The following is a 25,398-nucleotide window of genomic DNA, read 5'->3' as shown; positions in this document are numbered from 1 at the left end:
ATACGTTAAAAATCATCAAATTTTATATTGGGATAATGAGAATTATTTCTCAATAAAGATGTTATTAATAATAAAAAATTTAAAAGAAAGAAGAGCACACAACTGTCTTATGGTGAGTCATATAAAATAACTTGTAGAGAAGAAGGAAATCAACCTTCAGTCCTGGTACTTGAAAAAATAGTTCAATATATATTACAGACATGGAAAAAGCAATCCAGGGAAATAATTAAGCAGTGGTTTGACTCAAATGTACTTCTGGTTAAAGTTATAAATAGAATAGTCATTGAGCCCTTCTTAGAGTAAAGGAGTTTCAAAATACTGCCTGCCACTGCTCAGGGTTTCTGGTTAAAAGATACAAATGTAAAGAAACCTGCAGAGTTTTGTGGTCCAGATGGGTGCCAAATTTTGGGAATAATATAAATAGAAACAGATTCTTTTTCTTATAATTAAATGAACTGATTTTTAGGTTTATTTTTAAAAAAATCAAGTATAGCCAAGGGAAAATGTAATGACGATAAATTATTCTTACAAGATGCTGAAATTCTTAGAAATCATAACAAATAAAACAATATAGTACTGGCTCATAAATAAATACATTAATGGAACTAAAAAAACTCAAGACAAACTCAGTATATAGGGATATTTAGATTTTTTTAATATTTCAAATCAGTGGGGAAAATATGGACTAATCAACAAATGATATTCAAACAATTTGGTAGTTATCTAGAAAAGGAAATAAGGTTGAATCAATCTCTCAAAATTTCAATTCTATAAATTCCAGTTTTCATTAAAAAATTAAATGCAAAAATACAAATATATGAAAGTACAAGGTGACATAATAAAACACATTTAATTTCTTTAAATTTGGAGAGAACTTTATACATGTGACACAACTCCAAAAGAAAAGACTGACAAATTAAATCTTAAATATGTCCTGAATAACAGAAATCTTCATCACTAGAGGAGTTACAACAAACTGGGAAAAATATTTGTAACATATATCTATACTCCTATATTACACATTACATAATGCATGTGTGTGCACACACACACACTTTATATTAAGTGATCAATTAAAAAGTTATCTAATGCATAGTTTCCTAAAGAATAAGTATAGACTAAATCAACAAAGGAGTAAACACAGATACAGGCAACTCATGTGGAAGGAGAACACTGAAGACTTTTAATGGGTTGAAAGAGAATGACTTTGGTTTACAATTAGAGCATGAGCATTATATGGAAGAGGAATGAGGACTCATCAATTGTTCTTATGAAAAGGCTTATTCTTTCTAAGGCGATGGCTCTGATCTTACTTTACCTCTTAGGAGATGCAATCAACGTCAGCCTGACTCAACCATTCTTAAGCAAAAAAGATTTTTGAGGATTTGGATTGTATTAGGAATATTACAATTTCAAGAATATTTTATTTATATATTTTCATTACCTGTAAATACAGGGAGATACACATACATCTTATTTTTGTATTTGTACTAATTTATGCTCATATGTTTGAGTGTATTTAATATTACACATAAATTTCATTTTCCCCAATAACACACGATAAAAATTTGCTACGTAAATTATCCTAATTTAAAGCTTTTTTGACTAATATTCACTCTTTTCCCCTAAAAGCTTTGCTTTAATACGTGTCTGTGAAACATCTAAATGGTGAAAAACACTACACGAATTTAATTAAAATGAAAATATTGCTTATGAAAGGAGCAACGTATGATTTTAGAAAGTCATGTATTTTCAATATGTTAGCTATTATATCTCCACATGCATTTCTGTATTCCTAATACTGGGGGTGCTGTCTGGTGGTACATTTAACGACTTCATGCCCTGTGTTTATGCTATTTTCCTGCCCGCTTTTACAGATTTGACACCTATTTATGTTCAAGCAGATGGGGTCTGTGAAATGCTGCCATTGCAAACAAAAGGAGGCTGTGGGAGACACCAATTCACATCATTAGTGATAGCAGTATGGCAGGGGTCAGTAGACATGCCTCTCTGAAGACACAGGTAAACCTTCAGAAGCTGGTAAGCTAGACTCAGGCTAACAGCTCTTCCTTTGCTGATTTCTACTTTTAGAGATACTGATCAGTTGAACTCTTCTAGAGTGTAAAGTCTACATATGTGAAGATAGACTGACCAGCTTGAAAACTGCTTGTTATTTGACTTTGAGCATGTTGTTTAACCTCACTATACTTCAGTTGCATCATTTTCAAAATGGTGCTAGTAAGTTTCTTGTCATGATTCATTATCTTCATGAATCTAAAATACCTAGAATGGTGCCTGTAAATAACGCAAAATCAATCATCACGAACCATTTATATAAGAGGAAATTATGAGGCACTTAGCACCAGAAGAGCAAGTCTGAATATACAGATTAGAATGAGTATATAGGAAAGTCTCCATTTGCATGGTCTGTAACATGAGTTTAAATTAAATAATTTCCATCTTGAGAGATAGCAGGCTATTTAAATACAAATGATCTTAGAAATCAGACTGTCCTGACATCAGTTATAATTCTGAAATTTTTCAGCTCTGTGGCTTTTGGCGAGTGTTTTTTATTCAATTAACAGTATTAACTTAGTGGTCATTATATTCCTAGTATAGTAACAGGTGCTGGGGATAGAGAAGTGAACACAAGTAACAAAAGTCCTTTCTCTCCTGGAGTCTGTGGTCTAGATTGGACCTCTGTGAGAAACCTAGGGTTATAATCAGCTTTTGGCTTGACATTTGTAATCTCAGACTCAAAACTCAGGCAGATTCATAAATCACTCACATGCTTCCTATTTACATTAATCCACATGAGGATGCTGGCTACCTCTTACCATTGCACAATTGTGGAAGAAACTTGCCTAATATAATAAGATCCAACAAAATATAAAGAATAGCAAAAGAAACACCAGAACCCGGGAGGAAATATACTCATATAATGATCATCAAAAAAAGAGAAAGAACATACCCAAACAGAATAATCTTACCAAAATAATTCATGTCCTATTTAACACATTAGGGGAACCGATATATACAGAGATGGACAAGGCAAGATCTTTGCCTTCAGGGAATTCTGAGACTAGACAAAGTAGTCAAAATGTGAATAGATGAGTTAAGACTTAACATGTTCATTCTGGCAGACATATGGACAAAATATTATAGGAGTACACAGAGGGAATTTCTCTTTTTAAGTAGGGAAGGCAGTTGGACATAATATAGAAAGTTCCATGTGAGAAGACTGGAACAGAAGTCTAGGCACTCAGACAAAAATAAGCAAGGATCTTTCAGATAGTAACATATGCAAAGCATTAAACAGCAAATGGCTGGTGAGTTTTAAAATGATGAGAAATTTTAGTGACCTTCACCCCCACATTCACTGACCGCCTGACTCCACACAACTCTAACTGTTTACAGCTTCATCAAAGGGGAATTAGATGGATTTGGTTCAAGCCTGAGAGTGTGAATCGGAAATAAACAACTAAGTCTGGAGACTTAAGTTAGATCCACATTGTGAAGTAGTGTATATGCCATTATTGAGTGTGGACTTTATATATTATATAATGAGACATCACAGAAGGCACATAGGCAGAGAAGTAAATATATTAGTACACACTATAATCCTAGTAGCAACTTGTATAATAGATATTAAGCTGAAGATTGAAGGCAGCATAACTATTGCAGATAGCAACGTGATCATTTGAAAGAGACGGATGAGTTCTTATCTAAGGCAGTGGTACTAGAAGAAACAAAGCATGAATTGAAGATAAACTAGCAAGAATAGGTAGTAGGTTTTATTTTACTTATTCAACCAATAATCATTGAACATCTACTTTTGCTTTAATCGTTTTTGTCTTCTCATTATTCCTCTCTCCTAAGAGCTATGCTTTATTACCTGTCTCTGCAATGGTTATGTGGTAAAAATTGTCATTTAAATTTAATTAAAATGAAAATACTATCTATTTAAAAAGCACTGAATGATTTTTAAAGGCGTGTGTTTTCAGTATGTTAGCTATTATGCCTCCACCACATGCTCTAGTTTCTGAGATTTAGCTAAACAAGATGTATATAATCCCTGCCCTCATGCAGCTTACGTTTTAGTGATCTGAAAGCTAGGGAAACATCTAGCACGTGATAGTTGCTCAATAGATACTTTTGGAAGAATGAATAGATGGTTTGAATTAATTCAAAGAGATAGAAAATGACTTCAAGTTAGGAGACTGGTTAAATATTAAGACCAATAAACTTGAGCAGATATATACTAAGTGTATTTATCATCACTGAAATAGAAATAAAACTAAGTAAAGTTATGTGCCTCATATTCATGAGATTGCCCTTTAACTAAAAAACCAAGCTTGAGGAGTTGGGGGTGTGTATTCTAGAATGAGGAGAGTGAGAGATAGAGGTGGGGCGGGGGGAGGATGTACACTTTAGGAATCCCAATGAAATGTAAGTGCCAAATAAAGGATATGAGAGTTTATCTGGTGATTCAAGATGGAGAGCAAGGTCATTGTATAACAAGAGAAGTTTCACAGAGGAACTGAGACTTAGATTGTGATTGTGATTAAAGAGTTTGAAGAGGTACAGGTGGGAACAGTATGTATTATACCAGACATGGCAACAGTGTGATCAAAATACATGAGTGTGAGGAATAGCCAAGTACATTCTTGAAGCAAAAAAGGGAGTTAGTGGGGTGAAGAGAATGATACAACCCAGGTGGGAAAGATGCAGTTGCAAGTAGGAAGCAAATTGTAAAGGTGGTGTTGATGAAGAAAGTTTTTTTTTTTTTAATTATAAACCTTGCTTATATCTTTTTTTTATTTTGATTCTTAGGTAAACTAAAATCAGGCAGAATGTGTCCAAAATTATGTTCTGCCTCAGCTGTTGCCTTCCCCTGTTGTTTGGTAACCATCACGCCATTAATAACTAAAATGTGAGAGGCTCTCCCATTGTTGCATTTCCAGGCATAATATTGGACTAAAGAGTGTCCACTTATATTTGAACTTTAAATACACTACACATACATTTTTAGTATACATATGTTTCATGAAATATTTAGGACATACTTATACTAAAAAATCATAGTAGATCAAATTTAAGTTTGATCTACCATTTAATTTGACAAATTTAATCCATCTACTGTGCATTAAATTCAAATTTAACTGGATATCCTGTATTTTTTATTGCTAAGTCTGTTAACTCCTCCTAAAACTATGAAAGCACTGGACTTGAAGCAGTTCTCATCTGTTAGTGAAAAGATAACAAACAAGAATTGAGTATCTGTAACATTCTTCTTTAAATTAAACTAATCTAATGTTTTATATGGCACATGTATGAGAAGAATAAATTATTTTCTCCATAAGAGTTATCACTTTGTAATAATTTGTACAGGGTTTTGTTAAGTTGCAAAGTCAAGGGGCAAAAATAAAGCAAAAGAGGAAGAAAAACATTTAAAAGTGAGGTGATTTAAAAATGACAAGTACCATAAGCAATTGCCCATTTTTCTTCCCCACTGTGGGCTAAGTTCATGAAAGGGTTAAACCTCAAAGCTCCCTTCAGCTTTTTGCCCTTGGACTCCTGTTTACTTTAATGGAAATCACTTTTCCAAGGCACCACACAGAGATTTGAAATGCTTGGTTAAAGGTCATCGTGCAACTCAAAGAATAATAAATTTGCAATTTGTACTTTTCTGACCTCTAGAAATATTTTTAGGTGTTTGAGGCCAAAGAAAACAAAGCAGTGCTTTGAAGGGACTGGGGAGCTATCAATTGATCAATTTAAGTGGGATTATCTGATAATTGGGTAAACACATTGTTATTGATGTGCAGAAGGAGGAAGATGTGCCAAGAAAACATCAATGCCTAGGCCTAGATTTATCTGCTAATCCTTGAAGGAGGCAGTGTACTGAGGACATGAGTAATTGCTCTGCTAACAGATTTATTCTTCATTTAGGCCCCATTTGGGGCTTAAATCTTCCCCTCTCTTTCCAGCAGCTCAAAATGTGGCCCTAATCCCACTGCTCATGGTGTCAGACTTTGCAAACCCTGCTAGTCATGTTCAGATTCCAATTTCTTTGCTTTTACATGCACTGCTATAGCTATGTGTTGGTGCTCTAGCCAGATGTGCTTTATCTGAATGAACTTTCAGGAATTTTGCATTTGATTGGGCTACCTGGAGAGACTTGCCTCTTTTCTCTAGTCATATTTTAACCAGACTGTTTTTAAATAGACCCCTCAAGACAACAAGGTTTAGTGGGAAGATCCCTGGATTGGAAACCAGGTAAACAAGGTTCTAGCCTTAATGCTGTCCCTAATTATTATTATGACCTTGATTAATCTTTTACATTATCTAACTGTTTGGCCTTTAATTTCTCATTTGTGAGTCAAGGGAGTAGAGCTGAGATTGCTTCCAGCTCAATCAATAAAAGAATGAAGTAATTGATCTACATTTTATGTTGAATATGTAGACCCAACTACCAGGACTTTTTATTATTCTCATTTGTATCCTTCCTGATTATAGCCACATGTTATTTCTACAACATGAATCACAATTGGGTGATCTTGCAATTATCACTGGGAGAATTAGGAAAATTGCAAAGTAAGAAAATTTTTTATTTATCCAAAACTTTTATGTAGATTTTCCTGTGACTATTAAATGATTCTGAAATCCAACTATGTATGGTTCATTCTATTTTAGGAATAAGGTCCGTTTAGCAAAATTATTCCCCAAGCCAAATATCTAAATATGTGTGTACAATCTTCCCCTGTGATCCCTCAAGTTATGGTAACTTCTGTAAAATTATAAAAATACTTATCTAAGTGATGATTCTTTTTTTCATGGATTTCTTGATCTGCTTGGGCAGATTTCATGTTGGGCAGATTTCATGCGTCAACTCCGTAGCTGCCCGTTCTAGAAACATCTATGATTAAAGCTGGCCATACTCAATTAAGTTTCTTTCTTTTTTCTCTCTCTGTCTTCCTTTCTTTTTTTCATCTATGTATGTATCTATCTACCTACTTATCTATGAGCTGAGTTGGATTTAATAAGTTTGAGCTATTTAAAGCTATCTTAATTCACAAGGTCAAATTTAGTACCATGATACTGAGAGATATTTTTTCAGCATATATCATTTTTTGTGAGCAAAAAGTCTTAACAACACTCACATTTCATTTGAGAAAAATCTACAACAACCAATCATACAATCTGTAAAAAAAAAAAAAAAAAAAAAAAAAAAAAAAAAGAGTCATCATCTAGCCTTATGTAAAATATATTATAGAGTGCATTAGTTATGGAATAGGCTAAGCTCCTTAAGAACCGGGAGATAAGAACTATTGTGGATGAAACAAGATAGAAGTTTTTCAAATACCTAGATTGACAGGAAGTATAAACAAAAGGCATGTATGTGTTGAAGTAGCTAGGCAATGTGCAGGGAGTAGGTGAAGGGAAACTTGTCAGAAGCCAAGGTAGAGACCAAGATTAAAAGGGAATCTCTATCGCATGAAGTCATCTAAGGGCTTACCTTCCTTATGTCTTGTTCTATATTCACTAGAGTATTCCTCTTACCTGAATAATAAATGCTGGCTTTCATTTCAGCTCCATATTTCACCAGATGAAAAAAGTAGAGTAAACAACTTATTGATATACAAGTGACACAGAAGTATCATATATCATTTCTGTTCATATCCCTAAAGCAAAACTTAGTCATACGGTTTCCTAATAGCAAGGAAAATGAAAATGTAATCTCTGCCTGGATGTCTATGCACCCCATATTCATTCTCTACTTTATTGTAATAGAGGTTTTGTCAAAAAAGAATTTAAAGCTGAAAGTTCTATTACAATAAAACAGTAGGGAATGAATATGGGGTGCATATAGCAGTCTCTAGTACAGAGATATGTCACATTCTCATATTTCTAAAGAATCTCTTCATCAGTCAGCAAAACATTTTACAATCATTCTATGAGAAATTCAGTGATCATAAAATCTTGATAATAATGGTTACGTTTCCAAGACTAATAATATCTCCAGTTATTAAAATGGTGAACTTACAACGAATAATTAACTTGTTGAGACCCTTCTCACCAACATAAAAACCTCCAAACTGTTAAGAGAGGTTTGCTTTGGGGATATTCTTCCAAGTCTTCTTGGTATTGCTAAATCTTTAATTCTTCTTGAATTCATTTTCAATTCAGACATATATACTTTATATTTGTGATTGATATTGATACATTTTTTCCCTAACTAGACAGATGTTAGACATATCTTAAAGATTATAGTCTTATTAATCCTCAGAACAGGAAAGAACCTAGCTCTAGGAATAAATTACATTCACAGTCTTTCTTTCTTATAGCATCCATATTCCTCTCTATTCATTTGTTTCATTCATTTTCTACTCCTGAGCAAGCTGCCTATGTACCAAATGATAGAGAAAACAGTCAAATTTACATGGCTAGTATTTAGCATAGCTCTTTTCTGGTGCCTACCTCATAGTCACTGGACAAGTTATGGAGTGACTGGCCCTGGGCCAGGTGAAACTTCCAGAATGATCAGGGAAACTTTTGCATAAATATCATCCAACATTAGAATTCCTGAACAGGTGGCTATTAGTGGGGTAGTGTTATCTCAAAGGGAAAGTTAAATATTGTCAGGTATTAAGACAAATAAACTTAATAGCATATTTTATGCAAGCTACCATTGATTTAAAGAGATTATTATTTTACATATTACCAAAAAAGAAAATAAATGCTGCTGTTTAAGACACAACTCAATTTGACAGTGTATGCACTATGAAAAAATATTGTATCACATAATTGATAAAACACAGTTATAAAATTATTGATAATAGAAGAGTTGAATACTACCAGTTTTAAGCATTTTCTATGTCGCAGAGGCTGTTCTATGTGATTTATGTGTATTAAGTCACTTGATTACCAGAACAATCTTATGCAGAACACAAGATATTTAATATAAAATGCAAAAATCACAAAAATTACATCTCTGATAAGTAATCATTCATACTTTTAAAAATAAAGATAGGGAAGCATACTATCTCACATAGTAGAAAATTCACGTTTGAAGTCTCCATTACTTTGACAGTTTTTTTCTCTCTTGAGCTTAATAAAGATCCTCAAAAACACTCTCTCTAAAGTGATTTTTATTTATCTTTCTTACAAGCGAAGTCTCCCAGGTGAATTATTTAAAATATGCCATCATGCCACTCCTCAATACTCTCTAAGACAATCTCCCTAGGACCTACAAATGTTTTTCCAGCCATGTAGCAGCCAGACTGGTTGTGATTCTTTTTACCCTCCGTTAGTCAGAGGCCATTAAATCCTCCAGCTGGTATCTAAGGCTAGGTTTATAAGTTTCATTAATGATTTGGCTGGCTACCTAAAAGAGTAGTCATATCTTAGGGATTCTCCTAGGGCACTGTCATTTATGTACCACAAGGACACAAGCTGTGCCCCTCATGCCAACTGGGAATTAATCTTTCAGTAACTCAAGTGACTTGAGTTGTAGAGGCTACAATAGAATCTGCACTACATCAACCATCTTGATAAGTATATAAATATATTTCTAACCCACATGAATTAAAGGACATAAAAATTGAGAAGTGGTTGTTACTTTTGGTAACCTATCTGCTTTGCAATGGAAGACAAAAAACTACTAAGGGACTCAAAACTAGGAAGTTGTTAGACAAGATAACTGTTGTGTTAATTAGAATGAACAGATTCAAAGGTACAAAGATGTTTGGAATTATTGTTTCCTAAATAATTCGTACTTAACGTATTTCATGATAAAGGGGAAGATAATTCACCTATATTTCAGAGCATCTGAAGGTGAGAAAATAAAAAAATCTAGAATTAGAGTCTATGTATTCATTTCTCTTATGAAATGTCATATGAATTATTTTCTCAGCCTCAACTCTCCCTTCTATGGCCAAGAAAATAACTCTATCTGATCTGTGCCTCACAATTCCATCACTAGTTAATGACTCATTAAGATTTTATCCTTTTGGTGACATGTTATTGAACCTATTCCCCTCAGGCTGGTCCAGTGATTACAGAAGCAACTGGCAAATGCTTAATCACCCACTTTATTATCTCCTTATTAATAATAAATACCAGAAGAAAGGTGTATATAATTACATTGCTAGTTTAGAAGTGACATAAAAATGGTGGCAATATTGAAATTCTAATTTAATTTGAACAGTATCACATTGGTACTTGGGGCAACAGATGCGTTGAAGCATGAGAGAATATAAATACTTGTATTTTCAATCAGGAAAACAATTGGTACATTAGTGATGCTTAATTGAATGACAGATCCTTCCAATGGAACCTGGAATGCATCTAAATATTAGTGTTTCCTTAAGTAAACTGTTGCACAGTCTCTCAGATAATCCTGGCTTTCAGGATTTGGAAGATTACAGCATTAAAATTGCTCATATATGTCAAAGATATAGGGGCTCCAGATAAGGATTGTCTTTCTGAAAATATTAATTTACCTGCTCAGTTATCCTAATCTTTTTATTATTAAATGTGGTTGGTAATAAGACAGAATTTTTAATAAATGTGTGTGGTTCTTCCCACAAAATAAGGCAATATCAATATACACTTTCCTATCAAAAGTTATTACAACTAATACTATGCTTTAGCATGAAGAATTTCTGTATTCAGAGCCCATCCTGCCTAATATGTGGACATTCTTTCATTCAATCAGCGAGTATTTTTTGAGTCCCTACTATGTGTCAGGCATTAGTCTCCACCACAGAGCAGTCTAAGTTTTATACTGCTATTACATATGTAAGCAATGACATTCACCTATGACAGATGGAAAGTCTGGCATGAAGAAGCAATGGCTTGAGCTAAAGCCAACCCGACATTTGTCTATGTGACATACTTCCCAATATGAAATTCCATGAAATGCCAGCCATTGCTCCATTTTCCTCTGGAATTCAAGGAATAGAATTGACATGCAACTGAATATTGTTATTCTACAAATAATATTGAATGCTGACCTTACCTTAATTTATATGACATGAATATTGAGTACTTAAAACCATCTAAGTAGCAAATTGCACATAACACACCAAGACTTACTAGCATGTCAAAACACTGCTGCCGAGAACCAAATCTTTATAAGCTCTATGCTGCATAGAACCAAATTTTTCCACGTTCTGTAAATTCACTTGAACTCCCCCTGATATTTCTACATGTACCAATTTCATTCTCGCTTCTGTGACTTTGTTCAAAGTTATTTTGTATCCCAAATTTTCCTTTTTTGTGTATGTAAAGAATCGTATCTACCTATCCACCAAATCTCAACTCAAATCTTCTTAATCCTATCCTAATTATTAATGCCAGTAAAAATCTATCCATTTATTGAATTCCCATTTTAAGTGCTTACTGCATATCTACAATGTATATAGCATGATGCAACTGTCCATTTGATTTGCACCAATCACAACAATTTAAATTTTCTCAATAAAATTTCTTCCATTAAAAAGTTAATCTATTTTTTTTTGTCAGGGTCTTGTTTTGTCACCCAGGCTGGAGTGCTGTAGTGCAATCACAGCTCACTGCAGCATCAATTGACCAGGCTCATGTGATCTTCCCACCTCAGCTTCCAAAGTAGCTGGTACTACAGGTGTGTGCCACCATGTCTGGCTTATTTATTTATTTTAAGTAGAGATGAGGTCTCACTTTGTTGCCCAGGCTGGTCTCTAACTCCTGGGCTCGAGCAATGCCCCTGCCTGGGCCTCCCAAAGAGCTGAGATTAGAGGCATGACTCACCGTGTCTGGCCAAAAAAAATTAATCTTCCTTTTTAATTACCATGATGGGAAGGATACTCATATGACTTATACTTATTTTTTTCTTACAACATAATATAGTTAGGAAATACACCATGTTCAAATGTTCAAAGATTGATTAATACTGATAATATGTTATCTATCCATCTATACTACTATGACTAAAAGGTAAATTAAAGGTAGGAATCACAGCATCATCTGGGAGATGGCTGGAAATGTAGAATTTTGAAAACCACTCGATTAAATAAATTAGTTTTTGTATTTTTAAAATATCCTAAGATAATTAAAATGCATAGTAAGTTTCTGGGGCACTGATTAAACTAAGGCACAAAATTTTCTAACTTTCCAACATTCAATTTATCTGAATTTGGTAATGGTATTATTCAAAAATAACTATTTGCCAAAAAACTGAAGTCAAAAGGGGAAAAGATTATTTTCTACTTTTAGCCAATATTTTTTAACATTAATAAGAACTTCATATCAACATTAATACATCCACTATATAACATATGCAGCCCAACATTCTATTACTGATTAGGATACTAATATATCTAAAAATGATATATGACTTGTCAAAATGCACAAAACCAGTGACTGACATGTTGAATTTTAGCTCGTTATTTTTAAAATCATTATTTAATATACCCAGGAAACCTATAAAGTTAATATTACTACTAAGTCCATTTCTATAATAAAGTAATTAAAGCTTAAAAATGATAAGAAGCCAAGTGCAGTGGTGTAGTCTCAGCTACTCATGTGGCTGAGGTGGGAGGATCACTTGAGCCCAGGGGTTTGAGGCAGCCTAGATAACTTAGCAAGACCTCATCTCTAAAAAAAAAGAGAGAAAAAAGAACATAAGGCATTTCCTTTAAATTATAAACCAAGTAAATATATCACAGATTCACACATGTCTCTGTTATTCAATACCATGCTGTTAATCATGTCATTCTATGATCACAACCATCCATGCCATAGATTTCCAAAGATGTGAAATAGAGAGAAAGCATGACAGATGAAAAAATGTTAGAGGAGGCTAATTTAAAAAACAAAGCAAAGTGGAATAATATATGTTGATGCTGAGAAGGAGGAAGTCTTTATTTTATGGCCAAGTTACATATTTATATCTTCCTCAAAACAGTAGTGAGCCACTTTAAACAGGAATATAATATAAGTAGTTTTGTGTTGTGAACAGATTACCCTGGCAGCATTATGGAGGACAACTAGGAAAGAAAAATAGAATTTATGCAGAAAAACATGTTATTATTTTTTTGCCAAGCTCTAGTCAAAAGTTAATGGCTACTTGGACTAGTGAGTTTGGCACTGAAAACACAGAGGTAAGCAACTGAATTTGAAGACTATTTGGAAGTAAAGTAATAGAAATTGAAGATAGATTTTGGTATGTTGAGTGAAGGTAAAAAGAAGTCTAAAATAACATTTTTAGGTCTTTGATTTGCTGTTTGAATAGAAGAGGGTATACTTCTCTGATGAAGATAAGAAGCCATGGAATAATAATAGATAAGAACATCTGAGTTCAACATATTGAGTTTGAAGTGCAGTTCAGCCACTAAATTTCAGCAGATACTTGAAAATATAGGTCAGTGAATCAGAGGAGATTTTGTACTAAACACAGTAGATTGTGAGTTATTTGTGTATGGAATGAAAAGTACTGTGGCTCTAAGATTGAGGGTTGAGTAACGCCAACACTAATAATTCTGCGACAGAGTTTTAGAAGTAGCAGACAGAGTGGGAAGAAAGTTAAAAGGGCATGTTACCTAGGAGGCCAGTGGAAAAGTAACTCAAAAAGGAAGACCTGAGTAAGGTAAGTACAGAAATATGTTCCTTGGATTGAAGCCTACAGCTGTCATCGGTAATTACTTTGACAACCGTTTTAGTGAAACAAGAGAAAGAAATAAAGGTCACCCAAGTAGAAAGACAGGAAGTCAAAGTACCCCTGTTTGCAGATGGCAAGATCTATATCTAGACAATGCCATAGTCTCAGCCCCAAAGCTCCTTAAGCTGACAAAAAACTTTAGCAAAATCCCAGGATACAAAATCAATGTACCAAAATTACTAGCATTCTTATACTCCAACAACAGTCAAACTGAGAGCCAAATCCAGAATGCAATCCCATTCACTATTGCCACAAAGAATAACATACCTAGGAATACAGCTAACCAAGGAGGTAAAAGATTTCTACAAGGAGGACTGCAAAACATTGCTCAAAGAAGTTAAAGATGACACAAATAGATGGGAGAACATTCCATGTTCATGGATAGGAAGAATCAATATTAAAATGCCCATACTGCCCAAAGCAATTTATGGATTCAATGTTATTTCTATCAAACTACCAGTTACATCCTTCATAGAACTAGAAAACATTTTAAAAATCATATGGAACAAAAAAGGAGCCCAAATAGCCAAGGCAACCCTAAGCCAAAAGAATAAAGCTAAAAGCATCATACCATCTCATGTCAAACTATACTACAGGGCTACAGAAACCAAAACAGCATAGTACTGGTACAAAAACAGGCACCAATACTACTGGAGCAGAATCAAGAGCCCAAAAATAAGGCCACATACCTACAGCTATCTGATATTAAACAAAGCTGACCGAAACAAGCAATAAAATGGGGCTGAGATAATTGGCTAGGCATATAGAGAAGACTGAAACTGTATCCCTTCTTCATACCATATAAAAAAAAATAACGCAGGATGGATTAAAGACTTAAATGTAAATCTCAAAGCTGTAAAAACCCTGAAAGACAACCTAGGCAATCTCTTTCTTGATATAGAAATGGGCAAATGGGCTGGGCGCGGTAGCTCATGCCTGTAATCCCAGCACTTTGGGAGGCCGAGGCGGGCGGATCATGAGGTCAGGGAATCGAGGCCATCCTGACTAACACGGTGAAACCCTGTCTCTACTAAAAATACAAAAAATTAGCTGGGCGAGGTGGCAGGCGCCTGTAGTCCCAGCTACTCAGGAGGCTGAGGCAGGAGAATGGCGTGAACCCCGGGGGACGTGAGCCGAGATCGCGCCACTGCACTCCAGCCTGGGCGACAGCGAGACTCCGTCTCAAAAAAAAGAAAAAAAAAAAAAAAGAAATGGGCAAATGTTTCATAACAAAGATGCCAAAAGCAATTGCAAATAAAAGCAAAAGTTGACATATGAGATCTAATTAAACAAAGAAGCTTCTGCACCACCACCACCACCACCACCACCACCACCACCACCACAAAATTTTCAATAGAGTAAACAGACCACCTACAGAATGGGAGAAAATTTTTGCAAACCATGTATCTTACAAACGTCTAGGAACCAGCATGTAAAAAGAACTTCAACAAATTTACAAGAAAAAGAAAAAAACAAAAACCACAACAATCCCATTAAAAAGTGGCAAGGGACATGGACAGATACTTTTCAAAAGAAGACATACAGCAGCCAACAAGAATATGAAAAAAAAACTCAACATCGCTGATCATTAGAGAAACACAAAACAAAACCACAATGAGATACCATCTCATACTAGTTAGAATGGCTATTATTAAAAAGTCAAAAAATAATAGGTGCTGGTGAGATTGCAGAGGAAAAGGAATGCTTATACACTATCAGGAGTGTAAATAGTTCAACCATTGTGGAAAACTGTGTGGCAATTCCACCAAGACCTAAAAATATATCCACCATTTGACCCAGTAATCCCATTACTGGGTATATACCCAAAGGAATAGAAATCATTTTGTTATAAAGACACATGCACACAAATGTTCACTGCAGCACTATTTACAATAGCCAAGACATGGAATAGACCTAAATGCCCATCAATGGTAGACTGGATAAATAAAATGTGGTACATATACACCATGAAATAATATGCAGCCATAAAAAGAAGAATATGGATCTAGCTTGGAGGCCATTATTCTTAGCAAACTAACACAGGAACAGAAAATCAAATAACACCTGTTCTCATTTATAAGTGGTAGCCAAATGAGAACATAGGGACACACCGAGCAGAATAAAAGACGCTGGGGCCTATCAGAGGGTAGAGGGTGGGAGAAGAGAGAGGATCAGGAAATACAATTGATGGGTATTAGGTTTAATATCTGTCTGGGTCACAAAATAATCTGTACAAACCCCCGCCCCCGACACAAGTTTACCTATATAACAAACCTGTACATGTACCCTGAACTTAAAATAAAAGTTTTAAAAAGTACATACTGACTCTAAAATGTGATTTGAAGGTATGATTTCATATGTCTGTGTTTTGTAGGAATATGTGTTTGTGCAGAGAAAGTATATTGTATAAACATATATTGGAATGGTATTTTAGAGGACTTTTAAATATAATGTCAACTTACTGACTCTCCTTATACTATGGAAGATAAACACTAGAATTGTGCCTATACATACTGGAAACTCAGCAAATATTCATTTAGTAGTTGAATACATAAATGCATAATTTTCAGGGATTTGATATATTGGAATGGAGGGTGTCAAAGGTGATTAAAGGGCTTACCATTTAATAGAATCAGGAAAGTTTGTCTAAAATACCTCTCTGGCAAGGGCACTAATAATACTTTCCTGGAGGAAATAGGGAACGAAGAACATTTATCTTTTAATATATGGTACAATATATTTTAATTGTTTGCATATGGGATTCTACTGCAGGTAACACAAACATAGTAAATTTCAAAAAGAAAAAGGGGAGAGTGTCTCCATAATGACTTCTGAAATTTGAACAGATAAACTGACTAATGGATTTCCCTTAATCCATTAAATAAAGCAATACAACGAAATTAACCTTGTGAGGTTTAAAAGAAAAAAAAACTATTCCTATTTATTTACATTTCTTATGTCTCTGTAAGTATCTCAAAAATATATCATTCTTCTTATCCAATCAAAAATGACATGGATTTCCTTATTATCTGAAGCATTGCCAATATCCTAAAAAGATAGTGATTACTACTATATTGAGAGCTTATTGCTCAGTTTATAACTTCTAAGGCCTTTGGAAAGCTAAATTTTCAATTTTCTCTTCTTTTTATATCATATGTGATCATTAGAATCCTTTTATAGTATTCTTTTATTTTCCTTCAAACTTTTTCATAATTGATGTGTACCAGATTATTTGTCTGTGGACCAAGAGCCCTTTGTTCCCCAATTATCTTTTCCTCCAGCCTGATTTAGCTAATGTTTGCAATATCACAGTTCATCACCATGGAGATAACTATAACGTGACAAATATTGAAACAAATTAAATGGAAAGAGAGTAGTTAGAAAGCAGAAGTAATCCTTTTGAGAGAATAGCCCTCACAGTAATCAAGTATGTGTGTGTGTGTGTGTGTGTGTGTGTGTGTGTGTGTGTGTGTATACACACCTCTTTTATCTCTTTCTCACTGAAAAAAAAAAAAACTTGACCTGACTACATTAACATGTATCCAAGTATACACTCTTTTTTAGAATCACTTTTTAATTTTACTTTCAAAATAGTAATAGAACTATATTATGTAGTAAAAATAGACTTTCCTCAAGGATCTTTCTTAATAATTCTAATAAAAGCAGAAAGTTGACATTTGGTAGTAAATTTGGAATTACTTCTCAACCTACTGAGGCAATGTGCTATATTGGAAAGAGAATGTTAGAGAAGAGAGACTTGGGTTTCAGTGTCATCTCTATTCACTAGGTTTACTTACTAGTTTTATAACTTTCAGAAAGTGTTTTGTATGTGAACATGACATTAAACCACTTGAAATATATATATATATATATATATATATATATATATATATTTATAATCACAGAGACATGGAGACTAAAATTTTTACAAATACTACATTTCGTAAGTTTTACTTCTGGGATGAGACAGGAAAAAAATAAAATCAAATTATGATCTCCAGTCTTTTGTTTTCCTGACACAGAAATGACAAACTTCCATCAGCCTGAATGCTGGAGTGACCGTGTGGATCAGAGTACTTGCCAGATGTTCACCAGACATACAAAGTAAGCAAGAAATAAATATTTGTTACATTAAATCAGTGAGATTATGGATTAAATTTATTACACATTTGTAATTACTACCTATAACATTACATATCCTACACAATATGCTTGGTAAAAAATAAATCAAAATGTAAAAGATACATTAAATATATTATTAATTCTATAATTATGAATGTTTTTGGTTCATCTCAATTCCTATTACTCAGTATCCTTAGGCGCTCATTCTTTTTCTATATCACCAATGTTGTACATTCCTATCAGGGAGACTCCTGTTGACTGCAGGGAAACACGACAAGCATTATCAGTCTTTTTTCACTTGTTCTCTTGTAAGTTGTAAAATAAAGCTTTGTTTTATTTAACCTATGACTAAACTATTTAGTCATAATTATTAGCATGTATTACTATATTGTCCTAATAATTCAAATACATAATCCAATTATTCTTTTTCAATGTATTTTTGTATATTTGCTCAAACTATGGAAAATACTACCAACAAAACTGAAGTTTTGCTGTGATATAAGCATTAATTATCATACCTACAGATTTGACAAAATAAACACTTTCCATACTATTCTTTAAACAACATTAGTAAATTAATACATAGGCCAATGGGTTAGCAATACTAAATAATAAAATAAGGACAAAATTGTTACCAATAAAGTTTAGTAGACCTAAGAATTTTAATATATCGTTAATTGTTAGTTTTCCTGTAATGAAGGGTCCAATATGACAAAAGCAAACATTAACTAAAAGAATTGCTGAAAGCGCTCTGCATTATAAATAGAGTATTATTATTATTAAAATAATTTAAACATTAAAGACATCATTTAAATGTGGAACTAAAGAGAGCTGCCATGGTTAACTTTCAACTCAACTACAGTAAAGAAATTCCTAGCCAGGTGCAGTGGCTCATGCCTGTAATCCCAGCATTTTGGGAGGCCGAGGCAGGCAGATCACCTGAGGTCAGGAGTTTGAGACCAGCTTGGCCAACATGGCAAAACCCCATCTCTATTAAAAATAAAAATAATAATAATAATCAGCCAGGCATGGTGGTGGATGCCTGTAATCCCAACTATTCAGGAGGCTGAGGCAAGAGAATTGCTTGAACCTGGGAGTCGGAGGTTGCACTGGTCCGAGATGGAACCACTGCACTCCATCCTGGGTGACAGAGTGGGACTCCAACTCAAAAAAAAAAAAAAAAAAAAGAAAGAAAGAAAGAAAGAAAGAAGTTATCTTCATTTCTTGCAACAACGCTGTAGCAGTAAGACAATTACACTTACTAAGAATCATAGAGGTTTGCTTGTATACTTATGTTACAAACCTGCATGTTCTGCACATGTATCACAGAACTTAAATTTTTTTTAAAAAAAGAACCATAGAAAATGAGATCTTTGCTTTCCAGTAGTATCTAGTCAGATAAAAAATACAAAGTAGTTCAGAAAGCAGGACTGATCAAATGTCTAGTCTTAGGGAATGTTTAACAAACTTTATATTTAAGTTCTCTTTCTTGGAACAGAATACTTTCATTTACTTTATTTTAATAAATCTTTATAAATATTTAATTGTAACTACTCTCTGACACCAACTGTTTATTTCTTCAATTAATAATTCTGGAATGCTTTGCAAATAGACTTGGTTATGTAGAATCTGATTATAAGAATACTGTACTTGGAGAAGACAAGTGGTGCTTCTTCCTTTAGCTCTCATTGCAGCAAACAGCATATGCTATTAGGTTACATGAGGAATGTGAGAATGTATGTTTCAGTTTGCCCAGGATAGTATTCATGTACACCTGCTGTTATAATGTTCCTTAAAATGTAATATTTGTCCCGTAATTTTAATTTTTAATAAATTATTACCAATTTTTTATGACAATAACCCAGGATTAGATAGACCTCCCACCGACTTTGCATTTCCAGTGTCTTCCACATTTTTCTAGCACCATGTTATGCATTTATGTACACTTTTATGCAAAGTTAAATCAAAAAGGCAGTCAGCGGTATCATATTTCTGTTTTTTAGAATATTTTGAAACCTACACCCTCAAGGGCAGTATGCAAAGGTACTTGCTGATAAAACTAAGTCATTTGGAAATGAGTGGCTAGAGACAGCTAAATCCCTTCAGTCTTGAATGGTAGTGAGAGAAGGATCTGATGTTCCTCTAACTCCCATTTACTTGGTTCTGAGCTAAGTTAGCTGTGGACTCTGATCTGACCTGAAAGATGCATAAAGAAATCAGGTGAATGGGCCACGTGAGGTGGCTCACGCCTGTAATCTCAGCACTTTGGGAGGCTGAGGCGGGTGGATCACGAGGTCAGGAGATCGAGACCATCCTGGATAACATGGTGAAACACCACCTCCACTAAAAATACAAAAAATTAGCCAAGTGTGGTGGTGGGCACCTGTAGTCCCAGCTGAGGCAGGAGAATGGCTTGAACCCGGGAGGTGGAGCTGGCAGTGAGCAGAGATCACACCACTGCACTCCAGCCTGGGTGACAGAGAGAGACTCTGTGTCAAAAAACAAAAAACAACAACAACAAAAAAAACAGGTGAATTTCAGTCATTAGGAATCAAGGACAAATGCCAAAAAAAAAAGAGAAGGTTAATTGTATGCAAAATATATACAGAAAATAAAGGTTGAGCATTCCTGTCATAGTGTATATTAAGGTATTAAGTAGCCTAAATATTTTTGCCACACTTTTTTTTCCATTTTGGTAGGGTGACTGTAGAAAATGAAATAAGTAGAGGTTCCTCTTCAAAGGGACTTTCCTCCCAGTCCAACTGAGAATAGATAATAACCTCTCTTAGAAGCAAAATTTACTCAAACACCTGTGTTAATATTCTTAAATATTTGCTAGCTGTAATAAAGAAATCAATATACTCTGTGTTCTTAACTCCCATATTTTAGCCTAGATATTTGCCCTGGCATGACTGAAGTGGTCCAAGCATTAGGTCATAGCCTATTCCTCTTCCTTATTTGGAAGTGTTTTTGCCTCTCTCAGCATTACGCAAGTTACTTCCTCTCTTCCTTTGTTATCTTCTGCTTTTGCCTCTTTTGGGAAGTTCTAAGTTGCTAGCCAATCGGTTTGAGTACAGAATGTGAGGTCCTGTTCCAGCTAATGGAAACCGGACACAGCAGTAGAGTGGACACATCAGGTTATAAATGACCCTGTCTCCTTTGTTCATGTGTGCTCTCATGGCAAGACTGCTAGCAAGCGGCACCCTTTCTGCAGAAAGTAAACTAGTCTTGCTGAGAGATCCTTTGTCTCAGTGCTGATTTTGCGACATTGAGCACCCGTTCCCAATAGTGACTATATATCTAAAATCATTTATTTTTCTTGTTAGATTCTGCTAAATCCATTTTTGTAGGATTGAAGAATGAAAAAATGTAAGTACAAAATTAATTTAAAAATAAATACTGACTTTCCAATTTTTAAGCAAGTTTCAATTGATCATTTAACTGGCATAATATATAGTTTTCAACTTTTATCACACATGTGAATACTGCAATTTAGATAAAATAACTGCTTTGTGGGCTAATTTTGCTCTTTCTTATTCCAAGATTTTTGTGCACATACTAAAATGACATAATAACTGGTTATTCATTGATTTCATTAAAGGAAATTTCCACACAATTACATGGTAATTGTTTTATATCAGTGCCATTAAGTACTTAGAATAAAATATCAGTTATTTCCAATAATTAATCATTTTTATATCACATTTGTGGACTCAGATAAATTTTTTGGAAGTCTTATCTGTTTAAGATAAAACAACCAATATTATTTTTCATGTAAATTCATTTAAAAAGTTTAATATTGGATTAAAAATTATGAATTATTTTGGTAAAGATATGGATATAAATTTTGATGTAGCACAGCATCATGGTAAAAATGACATTCTCATCAAATTAAGAAATTTGTGAAGTAGAAATTACAAAGTACTCAGATTTTGTTGCAACAATTATACAACTCAAAATTTCATCTAAAGAATTTTAAATATTTCAGAAATTAAAATAGAAGCCACAGTTATCAAAGTTAAAAAATTGTCATATATGCACACAGTTAATATAACTAAAATATAATTTTTGTGAGTATACTGATGTCTATTAAAAATGTACTGCAGCATGACCGTCCATGTTTTCTGTCTTCATTGCTAGCCAATTAAATTTTAGAAATGTTTGAGACTTTGGAAACTACACTTAAAAGAAATATTAGTATCTTAGAATCACTTTTGCTTTATAAATTAATAAACTTTAATTTTTAGAGCCCTTTTAGGTTCAGAATGGAAAGTACAGAGAGTTCCTGTAAACCCTCTGTCTCCACATATGCTCAAACTCCCCAACTATCAACATCCCACACCAAATTGTTATGTGGGTTACTGTCAATAAATCTACATTGACACATCATTTTAACCCAAAGTCCATAGTTTACATTAGAGTTCACTCTTAGTGTTATACATTTTACAGGTTTTGACAGATGTTTAATGACAAGTATCTACTATTACATTATCACAGAAAATAGTTATTACATTATCATAGAAAATAGTTTCATTGTTGTAAAAACCATCTGTGCTCTGCCTGTTTTCTCTCCCTCCTCCCTAAACCCTGGCAGCCACTGATCTTTTTAATGTCTCTATTGTTTTTCCTTTGCTAGAATGTCATATAGTTGGAATGGTATAGTATGTAGCCTTTTCAGACTGGCATCCTTCATGGTAATGTGCATTTAAGTTTCCTCTGTGTCTTCTCATGGCTTGATAGCTCATTTGTTTTTAGTACTGAATAATATCACATTGTCTGCAGATATGACATTTATTTATTCATCCACCTACTAAAGGGCATTTTGGTTGCTTTCAAGTTTTAGCAATTGTGAATAAAGCTGCCATAAATGTTATGTGTGAAATTTTGTGTGGACATACATTTTTAATCCCTTTGGCTATATATTAAATAGCTTGATTGGGTTCTGTGGTAAGAGTATGTTTGGCTTTGTAAGAAACTACCAAATTTTCTTCAAAAGTGTATGCACAATTTTTCATTTCCACCAGGAATAAACAATAGTTCCTATTGCTCCACATCCACTCCAGCATTTGACGTCAGTATTCTGGGTTTTGGTCATTCTTATAACTGCATAGCGGTATCTCATTGTTTTAATTTGCAATTCCCTAATGTTACATGTTGTTGAATATCTTTTTATATGCTTACTTGACATCTGTATATCTTCTTTGGTAAAGTGTCTTTTTGGGTCTTTTGCTCACCTTTTAATCAGCCTGTTCATTGTTCATTGCTGAATTGTTAGAAGTTCTTTGTATATTTTGGATAACAGCTTTTTTTCAGAAGTGCCTTTTGCAAATATTTTCTCCCAATCTGTGGCTTACCTTCTAGTTTTCTTGTCATTGTTTTTCACAGAGAAAAGTTTTTAGTTTTAATGAAATTCAGCTTATCGATTGATTTTTCATGGATTGTGTTTTTCATATTGGATCTAAAAGGTCATCAAAATACTGAAGGCCATCTAGGGTTTCATTCATGTTATTTCCTAAGAGTGTTACAGTTTTGCATTTTACATTTAGGTCTATGATCCATTTTGAGTTACCTACATTTTTTGAGAAGGGTTTAAGGTCTATAGTCAGATTTATTTGTTGCATGTGAATTTCCAGGTGTTCTATACCCATTTTTTTATAAAGATCACCTTTGTGTCATTGCATTGCCTTTGTTTCTTTATCAAAGATCAGTTAACTCTTTTTATGTGGGTCTATTTCCAGGCTTTCTACTCTGCTCCATTAATGTATCGGTATATTGTTTCACTAATACCACACTGTCTTGATCACTGTACCCTTATAGTAGGTCATAAAGTTGGGTAGTCCATCTTCTAATTTTGCTTTCATTCAAGATTGAATTGCCTATTCTTGGTGTTTTGCTAGAATGTCTTTTAAAAATAGCCTCTAAATATAGTTGCCCCATATTCAAAATGAGTTAAATGTGTTAAATATAAGTATTCAACAAATGCTATCACAGAAAACATTAACTTGCAACACAAAAAATTTAAATAACTTGAGCTCAAATAGTGTAAAACATTTAATTTTGAATCCAATAATTTTAGTTTGGAATATTTCAACTTGTGAAAAATATTTAATGAAATTCTTAATTTTATATCAACAAATTCATATTCTGTGCCAGAATAAGAGGAAAGTAAAAATAAATCCATAAACTCAAATGACATAAAGCTTCCAAAATCATTTTAAGTAGACAAGAGAGTGGTACTTTGATGAAAATGAAAACCAGAGCCTGTGAAGATATTTGAAATAAAATATAAACTATCTATTCATTTCAATAGAAAATAAATTTAATTAAAGTACATTTGATTAGAAACATTTTCTGTGATCTACCATATAACTTGACATGTGTGGAGAAAGTATTTTCAGTTAAAAACAATGTAGTTTATAGCAAAGAGTCCAAAAGTTTTAAAAAAATTAAAGAAATTTAATTGTAGACAATTTAGAATTCACTAAACAACATGGATCTTTCTTTTTTAGTTAATCTATCATTCCCAGTTTTCAAGAAATTATTTAAAAAAATCAGAAAAAATACTCTTAGTTCTTGTATTAGGGTTCTCTAGAGGGACAGCACTAATAGGATAGACGTATAAATGAAAGGGAGTTTATTAAGGTTTATTCACTATATGATCACAAAGTAAAGTCTCACAACAGGCTATCTGCAAGCTGAGGAACCAGGAAGCCATTCCAAGTCCTAAAACCTCAAAAGTAGGGAAGCCAACAGTGCAGGCTTCAGTCTGTGGCTGAAGGCCCAAGATCCCCTGGCAAACCACTGGTGCAAGTCCCAAAGTCCAAAAGCTGAAGAACTTGATGTCCCATGTTCGAGGGGAGTAAGCATCCAGCATGGGAGACAGATGAAGACTCAGCCAATCTAGTCCTTCTACAGTCCTCTGCCTGCTTTTATTCTAGCTACACTGGCAGCTGATTAGATGGTACATACTCAGATCGAAGGTGGGTCTGCCTCTCCCAGTCCACTGACTCAAATGTTAATCTCCTTTGACAACACTTTCACAGACACACCCAGAATAATACTTTGCATCCTTCAATCCAATCAAGTTGACACTCAATATTAACTGTCACAGTTCTACATTTTTCTGTTCCCAATCTCAGTGGAATGAGTTAATTGCCTTGTTCTTTGGTTTTCAAACAATAGTCAGAGGTTTGCAATGTTCTCATCATTACCCATTTCTACTGAGAAGAAAAATGTATATAATGAGCAAAATGGTTACTGATTAGAGAAGTGGCCTGTTAAAGGAAATATACTGCTGTAAGTTATTCTCTTTACCTTTAGTCTAAGGTAAATCACTAATGGGTAACTAACCACATCACTTTAAACATAAGGAAAAGGAGTCCCAGGCCACCAAAAGAGGCTCCCTTAGGCACATCTACTAAAGAGACACACCTATGTTTTGGATGCTCTTATCATTGCTTAGACTGTCTACTCTATTGGGTTCACTGACTGCCCATATATAACAACCTTTGGATTGGATTTGACTCCTATGAATGTTTTTCCTCTTGGACCTTGTGCTTCATGGGAGTCAACAC

The 25,398-nt window shown here is 34.0% G+C and overlaps 1 long non-coding RNA gene across 1 annotated transcript in view, besides 1 other annotated feature; it reads right to left on the bottom strand.

Annotated features, from left to right (window-relative positions):
- Positions 1-25,398, bottom strand: part of DISC1FP1 (DISC1 fusion partner 1) — a 663,821-nt gene that overhangs the window by 171,515 nt on the left and 466,908 nt on the right. The gene's annotated exons all lie outside the window — the stretch shown is intronic.
- Positions 5,542-6,043: an enhancer, noted in NCBI's record as "NANOG hESC enhancer chr11:90470663-90471164 (GRCh37/hg19 assembly coordinates)". NCBI's record gives its function as "activates a minimal SCP1, AML or CMV promoter by ChIP-STARR-seq in primed H9 embryonic stem cells {active_cell/tissue: H9 hESC(primed)}" and the evidence as "EXISTENCE:reporter gene assay evidence [ECO:0000049][PMID:30033119]".

This window comes from Homo sapiens, chromosome 11, assembly GCF_000001405.40.
Source record: "Homo sapiens chromosome 11, GRCh38.p14 Primary Assembly".
NCBI lineage: Eukaryota > Metazoa > Chordata > Mammalia > Primates > Hominidae > Homo > Homo sapiens.
Note: the sequence above shows the minus strand (reverse complement) of the source record. Positions and strands in the feature narration are given on the sequence as shown.